Here is a 9,220-nt window from a genome sequence, read left to right as displayed (position 1 = left end):
AGAAGAAGGCATCCTTGAAGTCCAGAACAGTGAACCATTCTGCTTCCTCTGGTATTTGAGAGGGCATGATATAGGGGTTGGGTACAACTGGATATAGAGGATTTACTGCCTCATTGGTGAGTCTAAGATCTTGCACTAGTCGCTATTGACCATTCAGTTTTTGTACTCCTAGAATTGGGGTGTTGCAGGGACTGCTGCATTTCCTTTCTAAGCCTTGAGCTTTTAAATGTTTAACAATATCCTGTAATCCTTTATGAGCTTCAGGTCTTAAGGGTTATTGCCTTTGATAAGGAAAAGTGGGTGGGGTCTTTTAGCCTGATTTGGACTGGGTGGGCATTTTTTGCCCTTCCAAATTGTCCTTCCAATGCCCAGACTTCAGGGTTGATTCCCTCCTCAAGTAGAGGACAACAAATGGGTAACTTGTTCCCCATATTCATGTAGATAATAGCTCCAGCTTTGGCTAATATATCCCTCCCTAATAAGGGTGTGGGACTTCTAGGCATAACAAGAAAGGCATGTGAAAAGAGCAAAGTCTCCAATTACAGCTGAGGAGGTGGGAGAAATACTTGGTTACAGGCTGTCCCAGGATTCCTTGGATGGTAACGGACCTTGAGGACAGCTGTCTGGGACAGGAGATTAACACTGAGAAAGCCGTGCTGGTGTCCAGAAGGAAGTCAATTTCCTGGCCGTCATTGGTTAAACATACCCGGGGCTCAGTAAGGGTGATGACATGAGCTGGCACTTGTTCCGGGCACCCTCAGTCCTGTTGTTGGATCATCTGGTTGGGGGCTTCTGGACTAGAGAATCTTTATCCTCCGGGGCAGTGCACCTTCCAGTGATTGTCTCAGCATAGTGGACATGGGCAAGTGGGCAGCTTATTTCCCGTTAGACAATCTTTTTTAAAGTGTCCTTGCAAACCACACTGATAACAAGCCCTACCGGCTGATTGACCTGCTCCATTTTCTGTCCTCTCTGAACCACCAAGGTTTATTTGTCTGAGGGCCATGACTAAGGCTACGGTCTTTCTCTGATCTTGCTTTTCCTTTTTGGACTGTTCCCCTTGGTCCCTATTATAGAACACCGAGGGTGCCAGGTTTAATAATGCCTCCATATTTTGTTCAGGGCCCAGGGCTCACTTTTGGAGCTTTCTCCTGATATCCGTGGCTGATTGGATAATAAACTTATCTTTTAGGATCAATTGACCCTTGAGGGAGTCAGGTGACAGGGGAGTATATTTCCTTAAGGCCTCCCATAGCCACTCGAAGAAGGCAGAAGGATTTTCTTCCTTTCCCTGAGATATGTTGGACATCATTGAATAATTCATGGACTTTTTCCTAATTCTCCTTAGTCCTTCTATAACACAGGTCAACATATGCTTACGACTCCAGTCCCCATGATCTGAGTCGAGGTCCCAGTGGGGATCCATACTGGGGATGGCTTGCTGACCGGTAGGGAATTTGTCCCTTTCTTTGGCTGTCATTCTATCCTTTACTTAACTATGATACCAGATATCTCCAAACTCTCGGGCTGCAGCTAAAGCTGCGTTCTTTTCATTAAAGGCCAGGGTTTGATCTAACAATAGCATGACATCTCTCCAAGTGAGATAGAAAGTTTGCCCTAGACCCTGTAGGACATCTATGTACCTATCAGGATCATCTGAAAACTTCCCCAAGTCTGCCTTGATCTGCTTTAAATCATAGAGGGAGAAGGGGACATGTACCCGGGTTAGGCCAAATTCCCCTCCCCCTACTGCTTGAAGGGGACATAACCGATAGCCCAGGGGTTTTTGTGGTCCTTTGGAGATTTCTTTGCTTGTTTCCTTCTGGGCAGGGGAGATTAGAGGAGGCTTATCATTAATAGGAAGGGGAGCTGTAGGAAGGCTAGGATATGGAGGTAAGCTGAGAGGTCCTCCTGTGGGATGTAAATTGCGAGCTTTGCATAGTTGTGTATTCTCCTTCAATGAAAAGAAAGCTTGGACATAAGGTATTTGCCTTCCCTCTTACAGAAAAAGTCAAGCTGCAGGATAGTATTGTAATTTATACTTCTCTCAGGTGGCCATTTTTCCCCATCAGAGAGAGAATATTGGGGCCAAGCCATAGTGCAGAAAAAAATGAACTGCTTCTTTTTCAGGGTTTGCAGGTCAAATTGGTCCCAATGGCTTAAGATGCATTTCAAGGGTGAGCCTGTTGGTGCCTCAGTGTTTCCCATTTGAAAGACAAAACCACCCACGGTTTTGGTTTGTTTGCTTCCCCCCGCCCAAGAACCCACAATGGTCCCTGGACCCTGCTGATCAGAATAGATGCGCTCACCGAAGCAGCAGCAGAAACACCTCTTGCCCAAGAACCCGCAATGGTCCCTGGACCCTGCAGATTGGAATAGTTGCACTCACCAACGCAGCAGCAGAAGCACTAGTTTCCCTCCTAGACCACAAGGAGGACTGAGGAAGGTCGGATTTAGTGGCCCTTACTGACGCATTCTCGAAAACCTGCAACCTTGCCTGTCATTGTAGACCACAAAGAGGACTGAGAAAAATCGGATTTAGTGGCCCTTACTGATGCATTCTCAAAAACCTGTTAGAATCCTAAGCATTCTCCTGTTAGTATTGGGACTTTACCCATGTCCTATAAAGATGTTATGCCCCAAAAATGAAGTGGAGGGCCATACCCTAAGGGAGGGGAGGGATCTCCAGAGTTGGAAGAGTGATGCCTTTTGTCCTCACTTGAATAGGAAGGATATCATTTCTGAGGCTTCCCATATCCTAGCTTCAGGAATAGCTTTTGTTAAGCCTGCTAGTCTGAGGAGGGATCCTAAAATTCCAGATAGTCCCCCCGCCCCAGTGGGGCTTTGGGCAAAAATTATGTCTTTCTGATTGGTGAGCCCAGGTGCCAAAAGAAGGGAACAGAGTCCTGAGGTTTATACTAGAAATCATTCTTATAGGAGAAACTAGAAAAGCACCAGAGACAGGGAGTGGTTTTTAGAAGTGGGACTAGCCTTGGAGAAGAGGTGAGAGGAAGTTTGTCTGAAAGGCATTAGGACCCAGGAGGCAAGGGTCACGATAGATAGGATAGATGGGTGAGTCTCACTTTGGTGACATGGCTTTGAGAGCTCCGCTCATGGCCACAGGGTCAACCAACTTGTTCGGATCCTGGAGCTGAATGGCTTTCCTCTCTGTTGACCCTCAGCTCAGCCCAGAAGTACAGGAAAAGCGTAAGCTGGTTCCAGGCAAACCAACACTCCCAACTCTGAAGAGTTGGGGGTTGTTAGAGAGCCCTTCCCCAGAAAGCCTGACACCCATGTCTTTAGTCCGGTGGCCACACTAGTTGCTTTTAACTGGCCGACAGGTGCCCGGTATTTAGCACCCGAATTCTAAAGAAAAATAGGACAGAATAGCAAGCAAAAGGGGTCCGATGGAACTCACCGCTTGGCAATAGGTGATAGTCCCATCTGGGATGTCAAAATATGTCCGGAATTGGTTCCTTCCGGTGAGTTCTTGGTCTCGCTGACTTCAAGAATGAAGCCGCAGACTCTAGCAGTGAGTGTTACAGTTCTTAAAGATGGTGTGTCCGGAGTTTGTTCCTTCAGATGTTCAGATGTGTCTGGAGCTTCTTCCTTCCAGTGGGTTCGTGGTCTTGCTGACTTCAGGAGTAAAGCTGCAGACATTCGCAGTGTGTGTTACAGCTCTTAAAGGTGGCGCGTCCACAGTTGTTTTTTCCTCCCGGTGGGTTTGTGGTCTCACTGACTTCAGGAGTGAAGCTGCAGACCTTCACAGTGAGTGTTACAGCTCTTAAAGGTGGTGAGGACCCAAAGAGTGAGCAGCAGCAAGATTTATTGTGAAGAGCGAAAGGACAAAGCTTCCACAGCATGGAAGGGGACACAAATGAGTTACCACTGCTGGCTCGGGTGGCCAGCTTTTATTCCCTTATTTGGCCCCACCCATGTCCTGCTGATTGGTTAATTTTACAAGTGCTGATTAGTCCATTTTACAGAGTGCTGATTGGTCCATTTTACAGAATGCTGATTGGTCCATTTTACAGAGTGCTGACTGGTGTGTTTACAATCCTTTAGCTAGACACAGAGTGCTGATTGGTGCGTTTTTACAGAGTGCTAATTGGTGTGTTTACAATCCGTTAGCTAGACACAGAGCACTGATTGGTGCGTTTTTAAAGAGTGCTGATTGATGTGTTTACAATCCTTTAGCTAGACACAGAGTGCTGATTGGTGTGTTTTTACAGAGTGCTGATGGGTGCACTTACAATCCTTTAGCTAGACAGAAAAGTTCTCCAAGACCCCACCCAACCCAGAAGCCCAGCTGGCTTTATCTCTCATAATGACAGACTTCTCTACTTTGTAGAAGCCATCATTCAAATAAATATATCTAAGGAAATGTGAATAGTCAATGTAGATAATCCAGTCTCTCTGGGTGGCCTTAGAGCATTGGATAATGAGTAAAAGTATCTGTCCCCCACAAATCTGGAAGCCATAAGTTTTTCAATGATCTGATCAAAGATTAAGCCCCAGAGAAAATACTTTTGATTTCCTGGCTCTTCTTTTAAAATCACACCATAATGTTGGATGGGAATCCATTATACATCAATAATAATGACACTCAATGCTTAATATGCCTTAATATAATTTCTTCTATATAAAAATGCTACCTAAAAATATTTTGCATGTTAGGAGTTGATAACTAATAACCCTTCAGAGTATGCTTCCATTCTAATGGGCCCTTTGTTGCTGAAAATCTACTTTATTAGAGAAATAATGTTTACATAACATAAAATTAACCATTTTAACCATCTTAAAGGGTACAATTCAGTGGCTTTTAGTATATTCCCAATGTTTTATTACCATTACCACTGATTCTAGAACATTTTCATCATCCTAAAAAGAAACTTTGTACACATTAAGTGGTTATTCCCCATTTTCCCTCACTCAGCCCCTGGAAACCACTACTCTGCTTTCTTTCCATATAAAATTGCCTATTCTGGGCACTTCACAAAAATAGAATCATACAATATTGGCCTTTTGTATCTGGCTTCTTTCACTTAGTATAATGTTTTTGAGGTTAATCCCTTATGTAATTTGTTCATTCATTTTCACAGATTTACAATATTCCATTGTATGGCTATGCCACATTTTATTTAGTAGGTGATGGACATTTAGTTTGTTTCCATTTTTCAACTACAGTAAAAAATGATGCTATGAACATCTGGACAAAAGTTATTTTAAAAAACATATGTTTTCAGTTATCTCAGGTATACAATTAAGAAGTACTCATACTGACTTGTAAGGAAATTTTATGTTTACATTTTAACAAAGAGCCAATGTGTTTTCTGTGGTAGCACCACCATTTTACATTCTCACCAGCAATGTACAGGGGTTCCAATACCTCCACATTCTTATCAACAATTCCTATTTCCTGTTTTTTTTTTTTTATTTTGACAAATGTGGTTGGTGTGAAGTGGCATATGACTTTGATTTGCACTTCCATAATGACTAAATATGTTGAACCTCTATCCTTTTTTATTTCAATAATTTATTTTTGTTAATGATGGGAATATTTTCTCAGTAAGTTTAAGCAATCAACTTTATAACAGGGAAGGATAAGCTAGGGTTAGACATAGAAAAGTTAATGTACGTTATCTTGAAATTTTAAGGAGAAAAGTGTTTGAATGAAACTTTATCTATCTTTGTTAGCCAAACAGTATTAAAATAAGAAAATTTTGAATAGAAAACTGTACTTGGTTCTCATATTTCAAGCATAAAAGTATTTTAATAAAAAATTCTACTTTCTGCATATATTTACGTAATTTTAAAATAAAAGGTGTTATGTGGATTGTAGAGTGTAGCTAATGAAAACATTAAATAACATAATTTTAAGAAGCAATTAGCTATTCCACATGAAATAAAATCAATGATTACATAAATTCAACATGATTATGATGACAAAAGCAAAAATACAAAGTGTAATAGTTTTCAGTTCCTTGTTTGACACATATATTAATACATTTCCCAAAATCAAACAAAATAACACCAGCATCTACTAATACCGTGATACCATGATCACAATGAGACTCCTAAAACTTACTTAGTTATTAACATCTTAAAAACCTAATTCTCATATGAATTATGCAACCAAGCATATTATCTATGCTGTGCAAACTGGTGGAAGCACAGTCTTCTTCAGGATTCTCTAGAATTCATAATTATTTCAAATGTAACTGATGTTGAACCCCACATTTCCTATTGACTTTGGTGAATCTTCTGAGCAGGACTTCATTTATCAGAACATAAGCATATACTCATTGCAACTTTAAAAAGAATAGCAGGCCTTCATACATGTTTGTTTTCAATTATATCTCATCATTAATTCTGTTCAGAGTTATATTTTCTAGACTTAATATTTTTGCAACTTTTTAAATTTTTTCATTTTTTTCTATGTATTTCAACCCTTCTAACTTCAGCTGATCCAGCTTTTCATTTTGACTTTCATCTAGGGTTGTTTTCACACATTTCAGGATTGAATATAAAATAGGTGTCAGGAGGTAACAGAACATCAAGCATTATACAGACTGCTTCTATATCTGTAGCACTGTTGATAACATTAGAAAGTTTGGTTTTCAAGCTTGTGTGTATCACAGTGTTTTTCATGTCACTCTCCGAATGTCCAGTGCCCAGGCATACTGTGCACTCTAATGGGATATCCGGCCAATGACATTTATACTCATGCATTGCTAATGCCAAATAGTTATTCAGAAGCAAACCTCCGCCTTGATGAAGATCATTTCCCAATGTGTATTCTGCAAAGTAGCCTGGAGCAGCAGATGAGGCTCTAATGGCCTGCCACATTTTATACTGAGAACCTCTGAAATGACAGTTGATTCCAGCAAAATGGTCATAGTTTCTATGTTTAGAAACAACAAATTATAGTTTCTAAAGCACCATAGTTTCTAAAACATCAAATTATTTTGGTGTTATCCCTCTGTTTACTATGGTACTTATGGCAGTTACCTTAAGGCATGTGGGGTTTCTTGCTGTTGCCATCAATAGCGTAAATCCCATTCTATTTTTCAGAATTTTTTCCCACCTTTGACTTCTATAAAATGCATGGCTCCAACTCATTTTAACTTTTCCAACAATGAAATTTTGTGAAAATACGTCTGAACCTAATGTTTTATAGTTTCTCGCATTCATCCAAGGACATATGAAAAAATCCCGACATGAAAGCTAATATGGCACCTGTGCTCACACCACAAATGTAATCAAAGGGCTGATCAACTGGTTTCTGAGTTAGTTCAACTAATTTGCATAGTATCTGCAGAGCAACCACATAACTTGTTCCTCCATCTTCAATTATGAAAATTGGGATTCCTCTCCCTTTCACTGGATGCACGTAGGCAATTAAAGCCGAAAATTATCTAAGTGCAGCCTAAAGTGTTTCACCTTTAATTTATCTCAGCCAGAATAAATATGGAATAATTCTTTCTTTAACAGACACTCATTTCCTTCAATATATTCTAGATGATGAAAATTCAGTTCTTCAACCCCAGTAATACAGAACTTCAGGTCAGTTGTTTTTCTTAATACCTGAACTAACACCCAGGTTCTGTTATCAATATAATTGCAATAATAATTTCTCCCTGAAGAGATAAACGGTTGTTCTTCTCTGCATTTTTGTCTTTGCTGATAGCCTGCTCAGTTTTAGTAGGCTTTTCCTCTTTTTCTAAGTGTCTCTTTAAATCATAATTTAACTTGGGGACAAGTCCACCAATATTCCACCTACAAAAGATTATACAGTTTCACTGGGATGAAAAAGAAAGTTAGTAATACTTTAGTTGAAACTAGAAGAACTTCAAGTATTGCAATAGGATTTGAAGGATTTTCCACAGTATCTAAAGAAGATTCTGAGCCTGACTTATCAGTCAGCATGCCAAGATCTGGAGAACTTAATTTCCCTTCTTCAACCTGCTTACCTTCAAGTTCTGATATGTCCTGGAATTGTTTTTTTTTTTTTTTCCCTGTTTTTTTGAGACACATTTTCCCCACATTTGAAATAAGAGTTAACATAATTTGATGAAAAGTAGAATGGCTTTTTAAGTTTTGTGGCTATAATAGTCATATAATAAAGAAGACTACTTATATCTTCTTTTTACGTCTAATCTGGCATTTCTCTTTTGGAAGAGGATACTTTTTTATTTATTTGTCAGATTTTTTTTCAGAGATTTTATGCCTTGTTTCACTTTTCTTTTTGGTTTGTTTTAACCAGTCATGATTTGATACTTTCCTTAAAAGTATCAATTGGTGAGAATTTCTCTTGATTTGAGCTAAACGTGAAATAATTTCATTCTGATTGCCAAAAACATCCTTTGAAATAGTTTAGAAGTACTTTTAATATGGGACATACAAATGCTCATTTTAGTAAGTCCTTTGGGAGTGGGAGTGCTAGGTTTCAAAATTCTAATATGTAAACAATGGTTGTCTGGAGAGTAACAGTGCTTTCTGCCAGTATGTGTTTCATTTTTGTCTATTTACATATTACTTCGTTTGTATGAAAATCTCTTTGTAGACGAATGTGGCTAATCCTGTAGTAATGCTTAGGCGACAACAGGAAATGCAGTTGCTTGCTTGAGTAGGCCTAAAGCCTAGGGCCACTTAATCCTCCCTGGCAGTGGGTCAGTTCTGGAACCCAGGACCTCTGTGGTCACCCTGCCACTGAGGGCTGAGGGAGCCTGAGGTTGCTAAAGTCTGTCTGGTGGTGGTGCAAACCAGAGATCAATTCTGGTGTGCATGCCTGAACTCTGGGGCTGTGGGGTATGGCCTGGCACTGGAGAATATTCGTGACTCAGTACTGTAGATACCAGCCTGGAGTCTGGGTTTATGGTGACTTACTTGGTGCTAGGTTTTACTGTGGTTAACCTAGTGTTACAGGCTAAGGCAATGTCTAGTGCTGGCTTCTTTCTCCTTACCCCAAGTGGAAGGTATCTCTCTCAACACTGTGCTCCTTAAGGTTGGGGGAGGGGTGATGTGAGTAATGTCAAACTGCCCTTTTTATCCTCCCCCTCAGTGCATCTTTTTATTTTTCTGTACTGCATCTGGACACTGTAAAGTGTCATCCTGTTCCGGCCGGGCGCGGTGGCTCACGCCTGCAATCCCAGCACTTTGGGAGGCCGAGGTGGGCGGATCACAAGGTCAGGAGATCGAGACCATCCTAGCTAACACG

At 40.5% G+C, this 9,220-nt stretch overlaps 1 pseudogene; it reads right to left on the bottom strand.

Moving 5' to 3' along the window:
• Nucleotides 1-6,101: 6,101 nt before the first annotated feature.
• PNPLA10P (patatin like phospholipase domain containing 10 pseudogene) lies at nucleotides 6,102-8,599 on the bottom strand (annotated as a pseudogene).

Source organism: Homo sapiens, chromosome X (genome assembly GCF_000001405.40).
Source record: "Homo sapiens chromosome X, GRCh38.p14 Primary Assembly".
Taxonomy (NCBI): domain Eukaryota; kingdom Metazoa; phylum Chordata; class Mammalia; order Primates; family Hominidae; genus Homo; species Homo sapiens.
This window is presented reverse-complemented; position numbering and strand designations above follow the sequence as displayed.